At 43.6% G+C, this 25,216-nt stretch overlaps 2 annotated features.

The window, feature by feature from the left end:
- Positions 2,253–2,812: an enhancer, noted in NCBI's record as "NANOG-H3K27ac hESC enhancer chr14:77217211-77217770 (GRCh37/hg19 assembly coordinates)". NCBI's record gives its function as "activates a minimal SCP1, AML or CMV promoter by ChIP-STARR-seq in naive H9 embryonic stem cells {active_cell/tissue: H9 hESC(naive)}" and the evidence as "EXISTENCE:reporter gene assay evidence [ECO:0000049][PMID:30033119]".
- Positions 10,348–10,548: a silencer, noted in NCBI's record as "peak2205 fragment used in MPRA reporter construct". NCBI's record gives its function as "represses an SCP1 promoter by STARR-seq MPRAs in K562 erythroleukemia cells {active_cell/tissue: K562}" and the evidence as "EXISTENCE:reporter gene assay evidence [ECO:0000049][PMID:32103011]".

Below are 25,216 nucleotides of genomic sequence, written 5' to 3'. Positions count from 1 at the left end.
TTTGGTCTTTGCATTTGTCCTGTGGTTGAGTGCATCAACTTACAAAGCAAATTACAGCGACATACAGTTGCTAGCAGGCTGCAGTGCAGGCTGGGGGCTTCTCATCCATTGCAAGTTTCCTCAGTACCCAGCTCCTCTGTGGCCTTTGTGTTCAGCCTGTGTTTAATGCCTATTTTCTGTCCTTCATCTACTCTCCTTCCAGGGGGCTTTTTAGGGTATCTATTTTATCATCAACAGCTGCCACCAACTACAGACACTCATTTGGGGGTTAACTCTGTGTTAAGGGCTTTGCATAGCACCCCTAGAGGAAAGGTGTCCTTATCATCCCCATTCTGGAGGAAATGAAGGTTAGGAGAGGGAAGAAACGTGCCCAATTCACAACCCTGCTAAGTAGGGGAGGAGGCAGGACTTGAACCCAGACCTTGCTGAGCCTCCTCTCTTCACCACTGTGCTCTGTTGCCTCCCAAGAATGCCCTTTCCCCATCGTGCTGCCCACAGGGCTCTATGTACCCCTGTGATATGCTCACAGGAGAACATAGGCAGCAGCCAGCTCCAGCTGGCTTGGTGGGGGTGGGGTGAAGGGGGGCGAGAGTGCCCTTCCTACCCATCAGTTGTGCTGGGAAAGGGAAGACATGTTTCTGGTGGATCCTCTCCCCGTTGAGGGGTGATTATCCAGCCTGCTTGGCATTCAGCAATGAGAGAAGGCTTCCCATGAGCAGGGCAGAGCGCCCAGCCAGACTGCAAGACAAATGGGTGGCATATGCACTCCAGCCCAGTGCACAATCAGCTTGTGATTCTGCATCTGCCAGCAGGGAAATAATGCTCTATTACTGCAGGAGGAGCGAAGAAACATAACATCCGAGGCTGGGTCCTGAGATTGTTTTTACCTCTGTCCTCATCCCTTCTCTCTGGGGTCGTGGCCAGATGCTCCCTGCTTTGGGAACATTAGTTATGAAGCTTGTAGGGGGTTTAGCTCCACAGGGTCAGACCTGCAGGTGCAAACAGGCCCTAGGCGAACCCCCTGGAGGAAACGTTGACATTCCTGTTCTGTCCAGCTCACAGAACACTCTTGTTCACTCCCTTATTGCTGTGGGGAAAGACAGGGAAAAAGTGATGGGACCACTGAGGTAGTCCCTGGAGATGAGAGAGAAGGGTGGCCTGTTTACATCCATCACAGGCAGGCTGGGTTAGGGACAACAAAGATGGTCAGGTTCCAAATTTTCTTGAGTCGGGACTAAAGTAGCATCTTGTTAGTGTTTGCTGGGTTGGATAAAGCAGGGCTTCTCAAACCTGAGTGTGCCTCAGAAGAACCTGGGGGGCTCCTTACAGCACAGATGGCTGGACCCTGCCTCTAGAGTTTCCTACTCAGCAGATTTGGGCGAGGTCTGAGAACCTGCATTTCTTTTCTTTTTTTTTTATACTTTAAGTTTTAGGGTACATGTGCACAATGTGCAGGTTTGTTACATATGTATACATGTACCATGTTGGTGTGCTGCACCCATTAACTTGTCATTTACATTAGGTATATCTCCTAATGCCATCCCTCCCCCGCTCCCCCGACCCCACAACAGGCCCCGGTGTGTGATATTCCCCTTCCTGTGTCCAAGTGTTCTCATTGTTCAATTCCCACCTATGAGTGAGAACATGCGGTGTTTGGTTTTTTGTCCTTGCGATAGTTCGCTGAGAATGATGGTTTCCAGCTTCATCCATGTCCCTACAAAGGACATGAACTCATCATTTTTTATGGCTGCATAGTATTCCATGGTGTATATGTGCCACATTTTCTTAATCCAGTCTATCATAGTTGGACATTTGGGTTGGTTCCAAGTCTTTGCTATTGTGAATAGTGCCGCAATAAACATACGAGTGCTTGTGTCTTTATAGCAGCATGATTTATAATCCTTTGGGTATATACCCAGTAATGGGATGTCTGGGTCAAATGGTATTTCTAGTTCTAGATCCCTGAGGAATCGCCACACTGACTTCCACAATGGTTGAACTAGTTTACAGTCCCACCAGCAGCGTAAAAGTGGTCCTATTTCTCCACATCCTCTCCAGCACCTGTTGTTTCCTGACTTTTTAATTATTGCCATTCTAACTGGTGTGAGATGGTATCTCATTGTGGTTTTGATTTGCATTTCTCTGATGGCCAGTGATGATGAGCATTTTTTCATGTTGTCTTTTGGCTGCATAAATGTCTTCTTTTGAGAAATGTCTGTTCATATCCTTCGCCTGCTTGTTGATGGGGTTGTTTGTTTTTTTCTTGTAAATTTGTTTGAGTTCTTTTTATTTTATTTTATTTTATTTTTTTATTGATCATTCTTGGGTGTTCTCACAGAGGGGGATTTGGCAGGGTCATAGGACAATAGTGGAGGGAAGGTCAGCAGATAAACAAGTGAACAAAGGTCTCTGGTTTTCCTAGGCAGAGGACCCTGCGGCCTTCCGCAGCGTTTGTGTCGCTGGGTACTTGAGATTAGGGAGTGGTGATGACTCTTAATGAGCATGCTGCCTTCAAGCATCTGTTTAACAAAGCACATCTTGCACCGCCCTTAATCCATTTAACTCTGAGTGGACACAGCACATGTTTCAGAGAGCACAGGGTTGGGGGTAAGGTCACAGATCAACAGGATCCCAAGGCAGAAGAATTTTTCTTAGTACAGAACAAAATGAAAAGTCTCCCATGTCTACTTCTTTCTACACAGACACGGCAACCATCCGATTTCTCAATCTTTTCCCCACCTTTCCTGCCTTTCTATTCCACAAAACCGCCATTGTCATCCTGGCCCGTTCTCAATGAGCTGTTGGGCACACCTCCCAGACGGGGTGGTGGCCGGGCAGAGGGGCTCCTCACTTCCCAGTAGGGGCGGCCGGGCAGAGGTGCCCCTCACCTCCCAGACAGGGCGGCTGTCCGGGCGGGGGGCTGACCCCCCCACCTCCCTCCCGGACAGGGCGGCTGGCTGGGCAGAGGGGTTCCTCACTTCCCAGTAGGGGCGGCCGGGCAGAGGTGCCCCTCACCTCCCGGACGGGGCGGCTGGCCGGGCGGGGGGCTGACCCCCCCACCTCCCTCCCGGACGGGGCGGCTGGCCTGGCGGGGGGCTGATCCCGGACGTCGCGGCTGGCCTGGCTGGTGCTGACCCCCCCCCACCTCCCTTCCGGACGGGGTGGCTGCCAGGCGGAGATGCTCCTCACTTCCCAGACGGGGTGGCTGCCGGGCGGAGAGGCTCCTCACTTCTCAGACGGGGCGGCTGCCGGGCGGAGAGGCTCCTCACTTCTCATACGGGGCGGCTGCCGGGCGGAGGGTCTCCTCACTTCTCAGACGGGGCGGCCGGGCAGAGACGCTCCTCACCTCCCAGACGGGGTGGCGGCTGGGCAGAGGCGCTCCTCACATCCCAGACGGGGCGGCGGGGCAGAGGCGCTCCCCACATCCCAGACGATGGGCGGCCGGGCAGAGACGCTCCTCACTTCCTAGATGTGATGGCGGCCGGGAAGAGGTGCTCCTCACTTCCCAGATGGGATGGCGGCCGGGCAGAGACGCTCCTCACTTTCCAGACTGGGCAGCCAGGCAGAGGGGCTCCTCACATCCCAGACGATGGGCGGCCAGGCAGAGACGCTCCTCACTTCCCAGACGGGGTGGCAGCCGGGCAGAGGCTGCAATCTCGGCACTTTGGGAGGCCAAGGCAGGCGGCTGGGAGGTGGAGGTTGTAGCGAGCCGAGATCACACCACTGCACTCCAGCCTGGGCGCCATTGAGCACTGAGTGAACCAGACTCTGTCTGCAATCCCGGCACCTCGGGAGGCCAAGGCTGGCGGATCACTCGCGGTTAGGAGCTGGAGACCAGCCCGGCCAACACAGCGAAACCCCGTCTCCACCAAAAAAATACGAAAACCAGTCAGGCGTGGCGGTGCGCGCCTGCAATTGCAGGCACTCCGCAGGCTGAGGCAGGAGAATCAGGCAGGGAGGTTGCAGTGAGCCGAGATGGCAGCAGTATAGTCCAGCTTCGGCTCGGCATGAGAGGGAGACCGTGGAAAGAGAGGGAGAGGGAGACCATGGGGAGAGGGAGACCATGGGGAGAGGGAGACCATGGGGAGAAGGAGAGGGAGAGGGATAGGGAGAGCTTGAGTTCTTTGTAGATTCTGGATATTAGCCCTTTGTCAGATGAGTAGATTGCAAACATTTTCTGCCATTCTGTATGTTGCCTGTTCACTCTGATGGTCGTTTCTTTTGCTGTGCAGAAGCTCTTTAGTTTAATTAGATCCCATTTTTCAGTTTTGGCTTGTGTTGCCATTGCTTTTGGTGTTTTAGACATGAAGTCCTTGCCCATGCCTCTGTCCTGAATGGTATTGCCAAGGTTTTCTTCTAGGGTTTTTATGGTTTTTAGGTCTAACATTTAAGTCTTTAATCCATCTTGAATTAATTTTTGTATAAGGTGTAGGGAAGGGATCCAGTTTCAGCTTTCTGCATATGGCTAGCCAGTTTTCCCAGCACCATTTATTAAATAGGGAATCCTTTCCCCATTTCTTGTTTTTGTCAGGTTTGTCAAAGATCAGATAGTTGTAGATATGCGGCATTATTTCTAGGGCTCTGTTCTGTTCCATTGGTCTATATCTCTGTTTTGGTACCAGTACCATGCTGTTTTGGTTACTGTAGCCTTGTAGTATAGTTTGAAGTCAGGTAGTGTGATGCCTCCAGCTTTGTTCTTTCGGCTTAGGATTGACTTGGCAATGCAGGCTCTTTTTTGGTTCCACATGAACTTTAAAGTAGTTTTTTCCAATTCTGTGAAGAAAGTCACTGGTAGCTTGATGGGGATGGCATTGAATCTATAAATTACCTTGGGCAGTATGGCCATTTTCATGATATTGATTCTTCCTACCCAGGAGCATGGAATGTTTTTCCATTTGTTTGTATCCTCTTTTATTACGTTGAGCAGTGGTTTGTAGCTCTCCTTGAAGAGGTCCTTCACATCCCTTGTAAGTTGGATTCCTAGGTATTTTATTCTCTTTGAAGCAATTGTGAATGGGAGTTCACTCATGATTTGGCTGTTTGTCTGTTATTGGTGTATAAGAATGCTTGTGATTTTTGCACATTGATTTTGTATCCTGAGACTTTGCTGAAGTTGCTTATCAGCTTAAGGAGATTTGGGGCTGAGACGATGGGGTTTTCTAGATATACAAACATGTCATCTGCGAACAGGGACAATTTGACTTCCTCTTTTCCTAATTGAATACCCTTTATTTCCTTCTCTTGCCTGATTGCCCTGGCCAGAACTTCCAACACTGTGTTGAATAGGAGTGGTGAGAGAGGGCATCCCTGTCTTGTGCCCAGTTTTCAAAGGGAATGCTTCCAGCTTTTACCCATTCAGTATGATATTGGCTGTGGGTTTGTCATAAATAGCTCTTATCATTTTGAGATACGTCCCATCAATACCTAATTTATTGAGAGTTTTTAGCATGAAGGGCTGTTGAATTTTGTCAAAGGCCTTTTCTGCATCTATTGAGATAATCGTGTGGTTTTTGTCTTTGGTTCTGTTTATATGCTGGATTATGTTTATTGATTTGCGTATGTTGAACCAGCCTTGCATCCCAGGGATGAAGCCCACTTGATCATGGTGCATAAGCTTTTTGATGTGTTGCTGGATTCAGTTTGCCAGTATTTTATTGAGGATTTTTGCATCAGTGTTCATCAGGGATATTGGTTTAAAATTCTCTTTTTTTGTTGTGTCTCTGCCAGGCTTTGGTATCAGGATGATGCTGGCCTCATAAAATGAGTTAGGGAGGATTCCCTCTTTTTCTATTGATTGGAATAGTTTCAGAACGAATGGTACCAGCTCCTCCCTGTACCTCTGGTAGAATTCGGCTGTGAGTCCGTCTGGTCCTGGACTTTTTTTGGTTGGTAAGCTATTAATTATTGCCTCAATTTCAGAGCCTGTTATTGTTCTATTCAGAGATTCAACTTCTTCCTGGTTTAGTCTCGGGAGAGTGTATGTGTCGAGGAATTTATCCATTTCTTCTAGATTTTCCAGTTTATTTGCATAGAGGTGTTTATAGTATTCTCTGAAGGTAGTTTGTATTTCTGTGGGATCAGTGGTGATATCCCCTTTATCATTTTTTATTGTGTCTATTTGATTCTTCTCTTTTCTTCTTTATTAGTCTTGCTAGCGGTCTATCAATTTTGTTGATCTTTTCCAAAAACCAGCTCCTGGATTTACTGATTTTTTGAAGGGTTTTTTGTGTCTCTATCTCCTTCAGTTCTGCTCTGATGTTAGTTATTTCTCGCCTTCTGCTAGCTTTTGAATGTGTTTGTTCTTGCTTCTCTAGTTCTTTTAATTGTGATGTTAGGGTGTCAATTTTAGATCTTTCTGGCTTTCTCTTGTGGGCATTTAGTGCTATAAATTTCCCTCTACACACTGCTTTAAATGTATCCCAGAGATTCTGGTATGTTGTGTCTTTGTTCTCGTTGGTTTCAAAGAACATCTTTATTTCTGCCTTCTTTTTGTTATGTATCCAGTAGTCATTCAGGAGCAGGTTGTTCAGTTTCCATGTAGTTGAGCAGTTTTGAGTGACTTTCTTAATCCTGAGTTCTAGTTTGATTGCACTGTGGTCTGAGAGACAGTTTGTTATAATTTCTGTTCTTTTACATTTGCTGAGGAGTGCTTTACTTCCAACTATGTGGTCAATTTTGGAATAGGTGTGGTGTGGTGCTGAGAAGAATGTATATTCTGTTGATTTGGGGTGGAGAGTTCTGTAGATGTCTATTAGGTCTGCTTGGTGCAGAGCTGAGTTCAATTCCTGGATATCCTTGTTAACTTTCTGTCTCGTTGACCTGTCTAATGTTGACAGTGGGGTGTTAAAGTCTCCCATTATTATTGTGTGGGAGTCTAAGTCTCTTTGTAGGTCTCTGAGGACTTGCTTTATGAATCTGGGTGCTCCTGTATTGGGTGCATATATATTTAGGATAGTTGGCTCTTCTTGTTGAATTGATTCCTTTACCATTATGTAATGGCCTTCTTTGTCTCTTTTGATCCTTGTTGGTTTAAAGTCTGTTTTATCAGAGACTAAGGTTGGAACCCCTGCCTTTTTTTGTTTTCCAGTTGCTTGGTAGATCTTCCTCCCTCCCTTTATTTTGAGCCTATGTGTGTCTCTGCATGTGAGATGGGTTTCCTGAATACAGCACACTGATGGGTCTTGACTCTTTATCCAGTTTGCCAGTCTGTGTCTTTTAATTGGAGCATTTAGCCCATTTACATTTAAGGTTAATATTGTTATGTGTGATTTTGATCCTGTCATTATGATGTTAGCTGGTTATTTTGCTCGTTAGTTGATGCAGTTTCTTCCTAGCCTCAATGGTCTTTACAATTTGGCATGTTTTTGCAGTGGCTGGTACCAGTTGTTCCTTTCCATGTTTAGTGCTTCCTTCAGGAGCTCTTGTAGGGCAGGCCTGGTGGTGACAAAATCTCTCAGCATTTGCTTGTCTATAAAGTATTTTATTTCTCCTTCACTTATGAAGCTTAGTTTGGCTGGATATGAAATTCTGGGTTGAAAAATTCTTTTCTTTAAGAATGTTGAATATTGGCCCCCACTCTCTTCTGGCTTGTAGAGTTTCTGCCGAGAGATCAGCTATTAGTCTGATGGGCTTCCCTTTATGGGTAACCCGACCTTTCTCTCTGGCTGCCCTTAACAATTTTTCCTTCATTTCAAGTTTGGTGAATCTGACAATTATGTGTCTTGGAGTTGCTCTTCTCGAGGAGTATCTTTGTGGCATTCTCTGTATTTCCTGAATTTGAATATTGGCCTGCCTTCCTAGGTTGGGGAAGTTCTCCTGGATAATATCCTGCAGAGTGTTTTCCAACTTGGTTCCATTCTCCCCGTCACTTTCAGGTACACCAATCAGACGTAGATTTGGTCTTTTCACATACTTCCATATTTCTTGGAGGCTTTGTTCATTTCTTTTTATTCTTTTTTCTCTAAACTTCTCTTCTCACTTCATTTCATTCATTTGATCTTCCATCACTGATACCCTTTCTTCCAGTTGATTGAATAGGCTACTGAAGCTTGTGCATTTGTCACGTAGTTCTCGTGCCATGGTTTTCAGCTCCATCCATGGTTTTCAGGTCCTTTAAGGACTTCTCTGCATTGATTATTCTAGTTAGCCATTCATCTAATCTTCTCTCAAGGTTTTTAACTTCTTTGCCATGGGTTCGAACTTCCTCCTTTAGCTCAGAGAAGTTTGATCATCTGAAGCCTTCTTCTCTCAACTCGTCAAAGTCATTCTCCGTCCAGCTTTTTTCCGTTGCTGGTGAGGAGCTGCGTTCCTTTGGAGGAGGAGAGGCGCTCTGATTTTTAGAATTTTCAGTTTTTCTGCTCTGTTTTTTCCCCATCTTTGTGGTTTTATCTACCTTTGGTCTTTGATGATGGTGACATACAGATGGGTTTTTGGTGTGGATGTCCTTTCTGTTTGTTAGTTTTCCTTCTAACAGTCAGGACATGTAGCTGCAGGTCTGTTGGAGTTTGCTAGAGGTCCACTCCAGACCCTGTTTGCCTGGGTATCAGCAGCGGAGGCTGCAGAACAGCGAATACTGGTGAACAGCAAATGTTGCTGCCTGATCGTTCCTCTGGAAGTTTTGTCTCAGAGGGTACCCAGCCGTGTGAGGTGTCAGTCTGCCCCTACTGGGGGGTGCCTCCCAGTTAGGCTACTCGGGGGTCAGGGACCCACTTGAGGAGGCAGTCTGTCCGTTCTCAGATCTCAAGCTGCGTGCTGGGAGAACCACTACTCTCTTCAAAGCTGTCAGACAGGGACATTTAAGTCTGCAGAGGTTTCTGCTGCCTTTTGTTTGGCTGTGCCCTGCCCCCAGAGGTGGAGTCTACAGAGGCAGGCAGGCCTCTTTGAGCTGCAGTGGGCTCCACCCAGTTCGAGCTTCCGGGCTGCTTTGTTTACCTGCTCAAGCCTCAGCAATGGCGGGCGCCCCTCCCCAAGACTTGCTGCCGCCTTGTGGTTTGATCTCAGACTGCTGTGCTAGCAATGAGTGAGGCTCCGTGGGCATGGGACCCTCCGAGCCATGCACAGCATATAATCTCCTGGTGTGCCGTTTGCTAAGACCATCGGAAAAGCGCAGTATTAGGGTGGGAGTGACCCAATTTTCCAGGTGCTGTCTGTCACCCCTTTCCTTGGCTAGGAAAGGGAATTCCCTGACCCCTTGTGCTTCCTGGGTGAGGCGATGCCTCGCCCTGCTTCGGCTCATGCTCGGTGCGCTGCACCCACTGTCCTACACCCACTTTCCAACAATCCCCAGTGAGATGAACCTAGTACCTCAGTTGGAAATGCAGAAATCATCCATCTTCTGTGTCACTCACGCTGAGAGCTGTAGACTGGAGCTGTTCCTATTCGGCCATCTTGGCGAGTCTCAACCTTTTTTTTTTTTTTGAGACGAAGTCTCACTCTGTTGCCCAGGCTGGAGTACAGTGGCACAATCTCAGCTCACTGCAGCTTCCAACTCCCGGATTCAAGTGATTCTCTTGCCTCAGCCTCCCGAGTAGCTGGGATTACAGGCTCCCGCCACAACACCCAGCTAATTTTTGTATTTTTAGTAGAGATGGGGTTTCACCATGTTGGTCAGGCTGGTCTCGAACTCCTGACCTCGTGATTCACCCACCTCAGCCTCCCAAAGTGCTGGGATTACAGGCATGAGGCACTGCACGTGGCCGAGAACTTGTGTTTCTAACAAGCTCCCAGGTGATGCTGTGGCCTGTCTGGGACTTCACTCTGAGAATTGCTATGTGAAAGTATAATTTTCAAAGAAGTAAAATTATGGCTGTCATACAAGTATAAAATGAACTTGTGTTGTAGATTTTATTTATTTAGCTCCTTAATTAATGAGGGAGCCAGAAAATGGTTAAATCCAGTTAAGAGTAAATTTAAAGAGACACATATAACCAGTAATGCTGAATTTGCCAATGGACAAAAAACTGGTTCATATACTATAAATTGGAGTGGGGTTATCTTTTCTAAAACTCTATGTATCTCTACTAGACAAAATTCATTTGTATATCTATGGATAAGAATAATTTGTATAATTGTCAGTTTTTCTGTAACTAAACTTCCGTCTTTATAGGGTTATAAAATAGCCTAGTCAATAGAAAGACAACCATAAATGTCCACCCTTATGGAGTCAGATAATCCTTGAAGAACCGCCAAATCATTTGGAGGACTTGGATTGCTGGTTCCCACCCCCAGGGTTATTGCTACATGGATGAAGAAGAGATCCAAGAAACTTTAATGGAATGATGTGGGGTAAATAACAGCAAAGTCTTTCTCCTTTTTGTGTTTTCTACGTCATCTTAATGTCCTGAGGACTTCATTCTTGGCCATTTTCTTCTTCAGACTGGTGGAAAGAGGAAGGAAATGAGAACTCCGTGGTGTCTCGGACAGGTAGGGCTTGGCAGGTGGAGGAGGGTGAAAGTGAAGCTGGGCTCAGACAGGGGGTATGAGTCACCATTCAAACTCAGAGGCAGCTGAAAGTGAGAGTGTCCCATTGCCAGCAACCATTCCCAGGAAGAAGCCAGGTGTCGCCTTCATCTGTTCTGCAGCTGGGGATTCCTGTGAAGATAGGAGGGAGGCAGAGAAGCTTAGCAGCGTCTTAGCCCACACTGAGGGCTGGTCAAGATATGGGAGAATTTTCAAGTGGCAGTTTCAGGCTGGGCGTAGTGGCTCACGCCTGTAATCCCAGCACTACGGGAGGCCAAGGCAGGCAGATTACCTGAGGTCAGGAGTTTGAGACCAGCCTGGCCAACGTGGTGAAACCCTGTCTCCTACTAAAAATACAAAAATTAGCCAGGTATGGTGGCGCATGCTTGTAATCCCAGCTACTTGGGAGGCTGAGGCAGGAGAATCGCTTGAACCCGGGAGGCGGAGGTTGCAGTGAGCCGAGATGGTGCCATTCACTCCAGCCTGGGCAACAAGAGTGAAACTCTATCTCAAAACAAAAACAAAAATAAAGACAGAAGTTCATAGATTGAGTAAGTCTTTGTATCAAGTCCATGTGTTTTGATTGAATCCTGTGTTTTTTTTTTTTTTCCTCGAGGTCATCTAGTGGCTGTTGGATAAAACTCAGATGGAGAACTCTTTTTTTTTTTTGAGATGGAGTCTCGCTTTGTTGCCCAGGCTGGAGTGCAGTGGTGCGATCTTGGCTTATTGCAACCTCTGGATGCCCCACAAGAGTGTGTAGACTGCTGCAGGCCTAAGGACTGGCCTAGCCATCGCAGCCACTGCCAACACCAGCACATACTGCTTGGGGGCCAGAGGTTTGTCCTGTCACTGCTACCGCCATCATCCACATCATGCCCAATGACCAGGTAAAAGAGCCCGCTGACCCACCTGGCCCACTGCTGCTGCTACTGGCATCTGAGCAAATCACCTGGAGGCCCAAGAATTGGCCTACCTGGACCCATTTATAGTAGTGGCAGCATACGTCTAAGGATAGGCATGCTTGGCCCATGGAGAGGCCCACCTGGGGACTCCATTTCCAGGAAACTTTACCATAGCCTCCACTAACAACTGAACCATAAGTGACTGAGGAAATCATAGACACCACTGATGCTGTTAATAGCCAAAAGAAAAATAAATCATGGAGAATATACTACTGCATGTATCCAGAATCAAAGCCAAAATGTCCTACCCAAGGAACACATCTTCAGGAAAAAGATCTTCCCTACCAAAACAAATTCAAAAAATTTGAAAAAGTGACTGTTATACCAGATAGGCAGATATCAACTTAAGGACCTGAGATACATAAAAAAAGTAAGGAAATATGACACCTTTAAAGAAATATGATAGTTCTCCAGTAACAAATTCCAATCAAAAAGAAATTTATGAAATCCTAGGCCAGGGGCTGTGGCTCATGCCTAAAATTCCAGCACTTTGGGAGGCTGAGGCAGGCAGATTGCTTGAGCTCAAGAGTTCAAGACTAGCCTGGGCAACATGGTGAAGCCTTGTCTCTACAAAAAATTAGCAGCATGTGGTGGTGCACACCTGTGGTTCCAGTTACTTGAAAGGCTGAGACAGGAGTATTGCTTGAGACTGGGAGGCAGAGGTTTCTGTTAGCCAAGATCATGCCACTGCACTTCAGCCTGGGAAGTAGAGCAAGCCCTCTGTCTCAAAGAAGAAAAAAAAAAAAAAACTTATGGAATCCTGGAAAAAGAATTCAAACTAATGATATTAAAGAAGCCGAGTGAAATACAAGATAATTCTGAAAAACAGTACAAAGAAATCAGAAAAACAGTTCAGGATATGAATGAGAAATTTACCAAGGAGACATCAAAAAAATAACCAAACAGAAATTCTGGAACTAAGGAATTCATTAAATAAAATACAAAATACATTAGAAACCTTGAACAATCCATTAGATTAAGCAGAAGAAAGAATTTCAGAACCTGAAGATAGGTCTTTTGTAATAACCCAGACAAAAATTTTAAAAAAAAGAATAAAAAAGAATGAACAAAGCATGCATGACATATGGGACACCATAAAGTGATCAAATATTTAAATTTTCAGTGTCCCAGTAGGTAAAGAGAAAATGAAAGGGATAGAAAACCTATTTAACAAAAATAATACCTGAAAACTTCTCAAGTATAGCAAGAGATTTAGATATCCAGATACAGGAAGCTCAGAGGTCCCCAAGGAGATAAAATGCAACAAGTTCTTCTCTGTGGCACATTACAATCAAACTGTCAAAACTCAAAGACAAGGAGAGAGTTTTAAAACCAGCAAGAGGAAAGCTTCTAGTCACTTATAAGAGAACCCTCATCAGACTAACAACAAATTTCTTAGCAGAAACCTTATAGGCCAAGAGAGAATAGGATAATACATCCAAAGTTCATAAAAGAAAAAAAAATTCAAATGTATGATACTATACCCAGCAAAGTTATCCTTCATAAATCAAGCAGAAATAAAGTCTTTCCCAGACAAGCAAAAGCTGAGGGAATTAATCATCACTAGATTGACCCTACAAGAAATGAAATGCTTGACGGAGTCCTACACCTGGAAGTGAAATGATAGGTATCATCATGAATAAGACACGTGAAAGTATAAAACCTACTGGTAGATCAAACATACCAATAAAGGAGAAAAATAACTAAAATATTACTACTACAGCAAACCACCAAACCACAATAATAAATGAGAGAGAAAGAAAGGCACAAAGGATATACAACACTACCAGAAATCAATTAGTAAGTGACAAGGGCTGGGCATGGTGGCTCACACCTCTAATCCCAGCACTTTGGGAGGCCAAGGCAGGCAGATCACGAAGTCAGGAGTTCAAGACCAGCCTGACCAATATGATGAAACTCCATCTCTACTAAAAATACAAAAATTAGCTGGATGTGGTGGTGCATGCCTGTAGTCCCAGCTACTCGGGAGGCTGAGGCAGGAGAATCGCTTCAACCTGGGAGGCAGAGGTTGCAGTGAGCCAAGATGGCACCACTGCACTCCAGCCTCAGTGACAGAGCGAGACTCCGTTTCAAAAAAAAAAAAATTAAAAAAATAAGTGACAAGAATGAGCCCTCACATATCAATAATAATCTTGAAAGTAAATGGATCAAACTTTCTACTTAAAAGATATAAACTGGCCAAATGGATAAAAAACATGACCCAACTATATGCTGCTTACAAGAAACACATCTCACCTGCAAATACACATATAAATTGAAAGTAAAGGAATGGAGAAAGATATTCCATGGAAATGGAAACCAAAAGTGAGCAGGAGTAGTTATACTTCTATGAGATAAAATATATTTAAGTGAAAAACAGTAAAAAGAGACAAGACCATTGTTGGATGATAAATGTATCAATTCAGCGGCAGGTTACAACAATTCTTAAAATATATGCACCCAACACCAGAGCACCCAGATATATAAAGCAAATATTACTAAATCTAAATGGAGTGATAGACTCTACTACAATGATAGTTGGAGACTTCAGTACCTCATTCTCAGCATTAGATGGATCATCTAGGACAGAAAATTAACAAAGAAATTGTTGAATTTAAATTGCACTTTAGACCACATAAGCCTAACCAACACAGAACATTTCATCCAACAGCTATAGAATACATTCTTCTCATCAACATAGGGAACATTCTCTAGGATAGACATATGTTAGGACAGAAAACAAGTCTCAGCAAATTTTTAGAAATCAAAGTTAATACAAAGTATCTTCTCAGACCACAGTGGAATACAACTACAAATCAATAACAAGAGGAACTTTGGAAACTGTACAAGCACATGGAAATTAAACAACATGCTCTTGAATGGCCACTGAGTCAAGGAAGAAATTGAGGAAATTTTTTAAAATCTTGAAACAAATGAAAATCAAAACATAACACACAAAAACCTACGAAATGTAGTAAAAGCAGGCAAAGAGGGAAGTTTATAGCAATAAATGCCTAAATCAAAAAAGTAGAGAGATTGAAAATTAACAATGTAACAATGCACCTCAAAGAACTAGAAAATCAAGAAAAACACAGACCCCAAATTAGTATAAGAAAATAAATAATGAAGATCAGAGCAGAACTAAATGAAATAGAGACCAAAAACCAATACAAAAGATCAATGAAATGAAATTTGGTTCTTCAAAAAGACAAACAAAAATCATAAACTGCTAGCTAGGCTAACCAAGAAAAGAAGAGAGAAGGCCCAAATAAAGTCAGAAATGAAAAAGGAAACATTACAACTGATACAACAGGGACACAAAAACTTATGAGAGACTATTATGAACAACTGTAAACTAAAAACTGAAAAACCTAGAGGAAATGGATAAATTCCTATATACACACAACATACTAAGATTGAATAAGGAAGATATAGAAAACCTGAGCAGACCAATAACGAGTAATGAAATTGAATCAGTAATAGAAATCTCCTGTCCAGAACTGGATGGCTTCACTGTCAAATTCTACCAAACTTTCAAAGAAGAACTAATGGTAACTCTCTTCAAATATTCCAAAAAATTGAAGAAGAGGAAATTCTCCTTAACTCATTCTATGAGGCCAGTGTTAACCTGATATCAATACCAGATAAAGGCACAACAAAAAAAGAAAGCTATAGACGAATGTCCCTAATGAATGTAGATGTAAAAATACTCAACAAAATACCAGCAAATCGAATCTAACAGCGTATCAAAAAGATAATACGCTATGACCAAATGGGATTTATCCTAAGGAGGCAAGGATGGTTCAGCATACCCAAATCAATAAACATGATACATCATATCAACAAAATGAAGGACAAAAACCATATAAGCATCTCAATAGATGCAGAAAAAGCATTTGATAAAATTCAGTATCCCTTTATGGTAAAAACTCTCAACAAATTAGGCATAGAAGAAACATACCTCAATATAATAAAGGCCATATATGACAAACCCATAGCTAACATCATACTGAATCTAGAAAAGCTGAAAGCCTTTCCTCTAAGAACTGGAACAAGACAAGGATGCCCATTTTCGCCACTCTTATTCAACATAGTACTGGAAGTCCTAGTCAGATCAGTCAGGCAAGAGAAAGAAATAAAAGTTTCCAAATTGGAAAATAGGAAGTCAAATTGTCCCTCTTTGCAGATATAATCTTATTCTAGAAAAACCTAAAGACTCCACTAAAAAACTCTTAGAGCTGATAAATAAATTCAGGAAAGTCGCAAGATACAATATTGACATACAAAAATCAGTAGCATTCTTATATACCAATAATGAACCAGCTGAGAAAGAAATCAAGAAGGCAATACCATTTATAATAGCTACAAAAAAGTAAAATACCTAGGAATAAATTTAACCAAGGAAGGGAAAGACCTCTCTAAGAAAATCCATAAAACATTGATGAAAGAAATAGATGAGGACACAAACAAATGGAAAGACATCCCATGCTCATGGATCAGAAGAATAAATATTGTTAAAATGATCATACTGCCCAAAGCAATCTACAGATTCAAAGCAATCCCTATCAAAATACCAACGTTATTGTTCACAGAAATAGAAAAAGCAAATACAATTTGTATGGAATCGAAAAAGAGCTAAAATAGCCAAGGTGATTCTGAGCAAAAAGTACAAAGCTGGAGGTATTACATTATCTGACCTGAAAATATATTACAAGTCTATAGTAACCAAAACAGCATGGTACTGGTATAAAAACAGACACATAGACTGAGGAAACAGAATAGAGAACCCAGAAATAAATTCACATATTTACAGCCAACTGATTTTCAGCAAAAGTGCCAAGAACATACATTGGGTAAAGGACACCCTTTTCAATAAATGGTCCTGGGAAAATTGTATATTCATATGCAAAAAAATAAAACTGGATCCCTAACTATTACCATATACAAAAACTAACTCAAGATAAAGATTTAAATTGTAGACCCAGAACTCTAAAACCACTAAAAGAAAATACAGGGGAAACACTTCAGGACATTAGTCTAGGCAAAGATTTTATGGCTAAGGCCTCCAAAGCACAGACAACAAATCAAAAAACAGACAAATGGGACTGTTTTAAACTAACAATCTTCTGCACAGCAAAGGAAATAATCAACAGAGTGAAGAGGCAACCTGCCGAATGGGAGAAAATATTTGGAAAGTATTCATTTAACAAGGAAATAATATCTAGAATATACAAGAAACTCAACAAAACTCAACAGTAAAAAAAAAAAAATCTCCCTACTAAAAAAAGTGGGTAAAGGACATAAATAGACATTTTTCAAAAGAAAACACAAAAATGGCCATCAAGTATAAGAAAAAATGCTCAACATCACCAACCATCAGAGAAATGCACATCAGTGAGATATGCACACAGTGAGATATCATTTTACCCCAGTTAGAATGCCTTAAGTTATAAAAAAGACAAAAAATAACATGCTGATGAGAATGCAGAGAAAAGGGAACTGTCATACACTGTTGGTGGGAATGTAAATTAGTACAGCCACTATGGAAAAGAGTATGGACATGACTCAAAAAACTAAAAATAGAACTACCACACAATCCAGCAGTCTCACTACTGGGTATCTATCCAAAGGAAAAGAAATCAGTGTATCAGAGGGATGCCCACATTCCCATGTTTATTTCAGCACTGTTCACAATAGCAGAGATATGGAATCAACCTGTGTCTATCACTGGACAATTGGATAAAGAAAATGTTGTGTGTGTGTGTGTGTGTGTGTGTGTGTGTATATACTATTTAGCCATAAGAAGAATGAAATCATGTCATTGCAGCAACATGGATGGAGCTGGAGATCATTATATTAAGTGAAATAAGCCAGGCACAGAAAGACAAATACTGCATGTTGTCACTCACGTGTAGGACTAAAAAAAAAGTTAATCTCATAGAGGTAGAGAGAAAAATGATAGATCCCAGCGTCTAGGAGGGGTGTATGTGGTGGGAGGTGGTGCAGGGAGATAAAGAGAAGTTGGTTAATGGGTACAAACACACAGTTAAGTAGAAGAAATAAGTTCTAATATTCAATAGTAGAATAGGGTGGCTGTAGTTAACAACACTGTATTGTATATTTCAAAATGGCTAGAAGAGAAGACTTGAAATGTTTCCAACACATAGAAATGGTAAATACTTGAGGTGATGGACACCTCAGATAACTCTAATTTGATGATTACACAGTCTATGCACGTAACTGAATATCACATGTACCCCATAAATATGTATAAAAATTATGTATCAATACAAAATTTTTAAAAAAGAGTGTATAGATTTCCAAAATGATGTGTTCAGTGCTGTTGGTGTGAAAGAATACCTCAAATTTGTAAAAAGTTTTGCATTTTGCAAAGTATTTTCCTTAGACATTATCTCATTCAATTAATATCTTTAATGTTTGCTAATTACAATAGCCTAAAAACACCATATATATAGGAATAAATCTAATAAAACGTGTACAAGTCCTCTTCATTAAAAATGGCCTATAATTATTGAAATAAATTAAAATCTAAATAAATTGAGGGCTAGACCATGTTCATGGATTGGAAGACTTAAGACTGCAAAGAAGTCTGGGTGCAGTGGCTCATGCCTGTAATCCCAGCACTTTGGGAGGCCGAGGTGGGTGGATCACCTGAGGTCAGGAGTTCAAGACCAGCCTGACCAACATGGCGAAACCCTGTCTCTACTAAAAATACAAAAATTAGCCCTCTCCCTCTCCCTCTCCCTCTCCTCCCTCTCCCTCTCCCTCTCTTTCCACGGTCTCCCTCTCATGCCGAGCCAAAGCTGGACTGTGCTGCTGCCATCTCGGCTCACTGCAACCTCCCTGCCTGATTCTCCTGCCTCAGCCTGCCGAGTGCCTGTGATTGCAGGCGCGCGCCGCCACGCCTGACTGGTTTTCGTATTTTTTTGGTGGAGACGGGGTTTCGCTGTGTTGGCCGGGCTGGTCTCCAGCTCCTAACCGCGAGTGATCCGCCAGCTTCGGCCTCCCGAGGTGCCGGGATTGCAGATGGAGTCTTGTTAACTCAGTGTTCAATGGTGCCCAGGCTGGAGTGCAGTGGCGTGATCTCGGCTACAACCTCCACCTCCCAGCCGCCTGCCTTGGCCCCCGAAAGTGCCGAGATTGCAGCCTCTGCCCGGCCGCTACCCCGTCTGGGAAGTGAGGAGCGTCTCTGCCTGGCCGCCCATCGTCTGGGATGTGAGGAGCCCCTCTGCCTGGCTGCCCAGTCTGGAAAGTGAGGAGCGTCTCTGCCCGGCCGCCATCCCACCTAGGAAGTGAGGAGCGCCTCTTCCCGGCCGCCATCACATCTAGGAAGTGAGGAGCGTGTCTGCCCGGCCGCCCATCGTCTGAGATGTGGGGAGCGCCTCGGCCCGGCCGTGACCCCGTCTGGGAGGTGAGGAGCGTCTCTGCCCGGCCACCCCGTCTGAGAAGTGAGGAGACCCTGCGCCTGGCAACCGCCCCATCTGAGAAGTGAGGAGCCTCTCCGCCTGGCTGCCACCCCATCTGGGAAGGGAGGAGCGTCTCCGCCCGGCAGCCACCCCGTCCGGAAGGGAGGTGGGGGTCAGCCCCCGCCAGGCCAGCCGCCCCGTCCGGGAGGGAGGTGGGGGTCAGCCCCCCACCCAGCCAGCCGCCCCGTCCAGGAGGTGAGGGGCGCCTCTGCCCGGCCGCCCCTACTGGGAAGTGAGGAGCCCCTCTGCCCGGCCACCATCTCGTCTGGGAGGTGTACCCAACAGCTCATTGAGAACGGGCCATGATGACAATGGCGGTTTTGTGGAATAGAAAAGGGGGAAAGCTGGGGAAAAGACTGAGAAATCGGATGGTTGCTGTGTCTGTGTAGAAAGAAGTAGACATGGGAGACTTTTCATTTTGTTCTGTACGAAGAAAAATTCTTCTGCCTTGGGATCCTGTTGATCTATGACCTTACCCCCAACCCTGTGCTCTCTGAAACATGTGCTGTGTCCACTCAGGGTTAAATGGATTAAGGGCGGTGCAAGATGTGCTTTGTTAAACAGATGCTTGAAGGCAGCATGCTCCTTAAGAGTCATCACCACTCCCTAATCTCAAGTACCCAGGGACACACACACTCTGCCTAGGAAAACCAGAGACCTTTGTTCACTTGTTTATCTGCTGACCTTCCCTCCACTATTGTCCTATGACCCTGCCAAATCCCCCTCTGGGAGAAACACCCAAGAATGATCAATAAAAAAAAAAAAAAAAAAAAAAAAAAAAAACGAAAGAAAAAAAAATACAAAAATTAGCCGGGTGTGGTGACGCATGCCTGTAATCCCAGCTGCTTGGGAGGCTGAGGCGAGAGAATCGCTTGAACCTGGGAGGCAGAGGTTGCGATGAGCTGAGATTGCGCCACTGCACTCTAGCCTAGTCAACAGAGCAAGACTCCATCTCAAAAAAAAAAACAAAAAAACTACAAAGATGTCAGTTCTCTCCAAATTAATCTTTAGATTCAATACAACCTTTTTCGAAGTACTAGCAGATTTTATTAAAATTTTTGAAATTGACAAGCTAATTTCTGAAACTCATATGGAAATACAAAGAGCCGAGAAGAGTAAAGACAACCTTGAAGAAGAAAAAGAAAGTTGGAAAATGTATACCAGATGAATAGACTTATTATAAATCTATAGTACTAGGACAGTGTGAAATTCTTTTACATTTTACTCATTTGCATGGCTCTGAAGGCTGAGCCCTACTGGGCAGAGAGAGTGGAAAGCATTTGAGTTTCCACTGTACATCCACCAGTGGGGGTTGGTGGTATCATTTTTGTATGTGAAGGACAGGGCATGGACCCATTCTTTCTAGTAAAGCCAGAGAGCTACTTTGTTCTGTAAACCAGTGATTTTGTCTTGTTGGTTGTTTATAGCAGGAAGTCATCTGATAGTCTAGCCAGCAGTGCCATGGATGCCGCACTGTGTCCAATGGGATGTTTAAAGTCGCCAGAGGCCATTGACCCTAGATGCTGCATTTGCTCTCAATTTTGTGTGTTGGCGTTTGCATAAAATGGAGCATTTATTTATGCTTACAAATTTCTTTGTTGAAATAGCTTTTCATTTGTAGCAAAAGAATAAATCTTAGGTATTGAAAATTTAGAAAATGCAGATAGGCAAATAGAAGGACATAAAAAGCAGGCAATCTTAGCACTCAGATATCAGGGCTGACCTACCCATTAGGCACAGGAAGCACCCAGGGCCCACAAATGTTTTAATTTTAATTTCTCTTGAGAAGAAAAAAGTGCATGTAATAATAATGAATATATAATAGTAAACCTAGCCAGTGTTATGTTCATCTTTATACCAAAGCAGTCATCAAATATAATTTTCTACATTTTTTTATGGAGGAAGGGACCTAGGAAGGCAAAAGTGGTTAAGGCCAACAGATGTAACCCTGGCAGAAATTACCATTTTGTTTTCTTTTTTGTATATTATGCTAATCCCCCAGCATCTCATGTATACAATACACCTACGTACACATACACATATCTATATCATTTTTATAAAAATGTGATATTTGCTGTTTGTATTTACATATAAAAATGTGATATATAAAGAGTTTTATGATTTTAAAAACTTAACAATATACTGTTCATGCCTTTCTATGTTATCAAATGTTTTTCTAAAGTATTTTTCTTTAATGTTTTATTTTTAATTGTAAAAGTAACACATACACATACAATTTTTTGAAATGGAGTCTCACTCTTGTCACCCAGGCTGGAGTGCAGTGGCGTGATCTTGGCTCACTGTAACTTCTGGCCTCCCAGGTTCAAGCGATTCTCCTCCTTCAGCCTTCCGAGTAGCTGGGATTACAGGTGCCTGCTGGCTAATGTGTGTGTGTGTGTGTGTGTGTGTGTGTGTGTGTGTGTGTGTGTGTGTGTGTGTTTATTAGAGGTAGGATTTCACCATGTTGGCCAGGCTGGTCTAGAACTCCTGACCTCAAATGATCCACCCACCTCGGCTTCCCAAAGTGCTGGGATTACAGGCGTGAGCCACCACACCCAGACATACTTACTTTTTTTTTTTTAAAAGAGATAGAATCTTGCTTTGTCACCCTGGCTGGAGTGCAGTGATATGATCATAGCTCACTGTAACCTCTAACTCCTGGTCTCAAGTGATCCTCTTGCCTCAGCCTCTCAAGTAGCTGGGACTACAGGGATGCACCACCACGCCTGGGTAATTTATTTTATTTTAGTTTTTGTAGAGATAGGATCTATCTGTATTGCCCAGGCTGGTCTTGAACTCCTGGCCTCAAGTGATCCTCCTGCCTTGTGCTGGGATTACAGGCATAAGCCACTGTGCCCAGCTGTACAACATCATTCTTGATGGCTGCATAGTGCTCTAGTGAATAGATGTATTGTAAGATATTTAACCTATTTTGGGTGTTTCCAGGATTTTGCTAAGATGAATGAGACCAAGATGAACATTCTTCCAGCAAAATCATTGCATCCATGATTATTTCCTTGGAATAAATTTCTAGATGTACAGTTTTGAAATTTGACACTAAAGGAGTACAAACATGCCAACCCCCAAATATACTGTCCTGGCATATTGACTGTTTTGAGTTAAAGGCACTTAAAAAACAGGGGGTACTCTTAGAAGATCCCTCTGACCTTCCTTTTGTTTCTTAAAAGCAGGAGATGAAATTGTCATGTGAAAGATATCTTCCTTATACCAGAAAAAAAGAATCATTCTTGTCATCAAGAATAGGAAGTCGAGGCAGGGGAAATCTGTACTTGGTAGACTAATTCTTATCTTCCTAGTCACTCCTCTACCCAAGTAACTACCCTAGCCCAAGCCCCTTTGTCTTGTTACATTTTACTACTGTTTGCCCAATTTAGTATATAAATGTTCAACTATGTGTCTTTGAGTCTTCATTTCCTTATGAGTGCCCCTGGGTCATGTAAACTTGTATTGAATGAAGTTGTATGCTTTGCTCCTCTTGATTTTCTCTTATTATGTCATTTAATTTGCAAGCTCAGTTGATAAGCCCTAAGGAAGGTAGAGGTAAAATTTTACTCCTCTACATCACATTATGCTGCACTTAATTTAACAGTGTAAGAGCATCAGTGCAACGTGGGTCATTTGTGATGCTACCCATAAGATGTCCTGGGGCCTTCTCCTATATCAGCAGTACTGCAGTGGCCTCTCCTTGGTTTAGGAAGGACACCTTCCAGTGTGATCACTGGAAGCTTGGGGGACCACTGTGTACAACACATAGTATAAGCTCAGTCATTATTTGCCAAATGAACAAATAAATGAATATAGACTCAGTATGACTACTGGTCCACAAATGCAGATATTCAAGAATACAACATTTCTGTGTACTCCTCAAGTCAACGTGGATTAATCCCACCTGTGAAAGTGGTGGGAAGTTAAATTTCAGTAATTACTGAGTCTCTCTGACAGTGTTCCACCTGCCCCAGGTCATTCAATGTTCTTAAAGCCTTAAGCACTAAAGACTCATCTGGGATTTGCTGCCAGTCCCCTGCCCCACTGGTCACTCTGCGACCTCTGTGTCTCAGCTTGAACAGTCCCTTTCGGCTCCTGCTCCTGCTGCATCCATGCCACACTTGGGGCAAGGGACTCTTGGGAAAACTTGAGGCCCTTAGTGCCTGGAGTTCAGCACCCTTAGGTGTACCAATAGCCATCTGTCTCTTTAGATCTTTCCAGAAAGAGATGCATGGCTCCCCATTGCAGGCTAGGGGATTCTCTCTTTGAAACCAGACCAATTGTTCCATGGAACTGATGTTTATGGTTTCTTTGGAATAAACATAGGAATGGACCCTCCCAGTCTTAAAACATGAGGAATTTACATTTGTCTTATTCAAGTTCCTTTCTCAGGAAACCAACCATCAAGCCTCCCAGACAGTATCAAAGAACTGAAACTTACCAGATCACCACGTCTGGACAGTGAGATCTCTCACCAGTCATGATTGCCTCACAGACCACCTGCTGTCTGTTGACCAACTCTTTTTTACTCTCCCTAATTCCTGTTTTCCCACACATAGTTACATTCCTTCCTTGCTATATAAACTCCTAATTTTAGTTGATTGAAGAGACAGATTTGAGACTGACCTCCCATTCTCCTTGGCCACAGCACCCAAATCAAGCATTCTGCTCTGGTAATACTTGTAGTCTCAGTGATTGGCTTTCTGTGCAGCAAGGAATGGGACACCTGGCATTCTGTGCAGCAAGCAATGGGATGCCTGGCATTTCAGTAACATCTTCTGCCCCTGGAGCTGTACCCCACAGGCTTAAGGAAATTGGTCACGGGCTGAGCATGGTGGTAATCCCAACACTTTGGGAGGCCAAGGCGGATGGATCACTTGAGGTCAGGAGTTCGAGACCAGCCTGGCCAATGTGGTGAAACCCCATCTCTACTAAAAATACAAAAATTAGCCGGGTGTGGTGGTGCATCCTGTAATCCCAGCTACTCGGGAGGCTGAGGCAGGAGAATTGCTAGAACCCAGGAGGCGGAGGTTGCAGTGAGCCAAGATCGTGCCACTGCTCTCCAGTCTGGGTGACAGAGCAAGACTCCATCTCAAAAAAAAGAAAAGAAAAGAAAAGAAAAGAAAAGAAAAGAAATTGGTCACTGACCAGAAACCTTGAGCTTGACTTACAGGATGGTAGATAAGGAAACAGCTTGATACAATCCCCTCCAGTTGCAACAATAACTGGCTCACTGGCTGAAACTGGAACCAATATGGCTGACTAGAGTCTTCCCAGAATAGACTTACTTGCCCAGTGGGTGACTTTTGACATCACAGCCAAAATTTCCACTGCATATTTCATACCAACTCACCCTGAATTTGCGTGTGTGACTCATGAAGAAGCTTGAAGACACAACTATACACGTTCAAGGGCCTTTCCAAAATTCCTCTCCTTTGCTGCCAATCACTAACCACCCCAAAGCTCCTCCTCAGAATCTCTCCCTTAAATATACTGCTTCAAGGCTGGTCTTGCAATGTACCTTTCTCTACAGAAATATCTGCAAAAATGCTCCAGGGTGTGGCTTTCCATTGTGCATGAGCAAACAGACTCAGTTTGGTTCAGCAACACCCCTTGCTACTCTTGTTCCCCTCTTCATGTAGAACACATCTCTTTATTACATTTATCCCATTTCCCCTTACCCTACTGCCACCAGCAACGAAGGAGACATGGACTTGAAGCTCTTTAGCTTTCTGTGCTGCGAAATCTCAAAGGCAAGCAATTCTAAAGGGTCTGGCTACCCACTTAAAATCAGAGCAGGGACGAATCTATGGGAGAGCAAGACCAAACTATAATCTCAAATGATTGTGCTGCAAATGGATTCATAAAATGTTAAAGAGGGCGGTAATGCCTCAGAAAAGAGAATCCTCATTGTGGTGATTGAGCTGGCTTTAGGATGCCCACGGTAGTGATACATCTCACCGTGGAGAAGGGAGAGGTGGGGCTCTTTGGTCATTTAGGTCACTTCTGCACTGTGGTAACACGTTTACATGCCACAAATGCATGGTTAGGCAAAAAGGTGTTTTTTCTTGTTTAATTTTTCTTTTCTATTTCTCTCTCCTCTGGGATTGGTATTTTCCAACATTAAGCAGATTAATGTGCATGTGTTGCAGATTTCATGTGGCTTAGAGTTGTGTGGTATAGGGGAGGCAGAATTTTACCCCTACCTTTTTAAGGTTTTTCAGCTGGGCCTGAGAATTAAAGTGACATAAGACAGATCCACAGGATAAAAGAATACTAGTATATTTAGTACAAGTTTTCCAT

The sequence above is a fragment of the Homo sapiens genome, chromosome 14 (assembly GCF_000001405.40).
Source record: "Homo sapiens chromosome 14, GRCh38.p14 Primary Assembly".
Taxonomy (NCBI): Eukaryota; Metazoa; Chordata; class Mammalia; order Primates; family Hominidae; genus Homo; species Homo sapiens.
The sequence above is the reverse complement of the archived record's forward strand: the minus strand, read 5'-3'. Positions and strand labels throughout refer to the sequence as shown.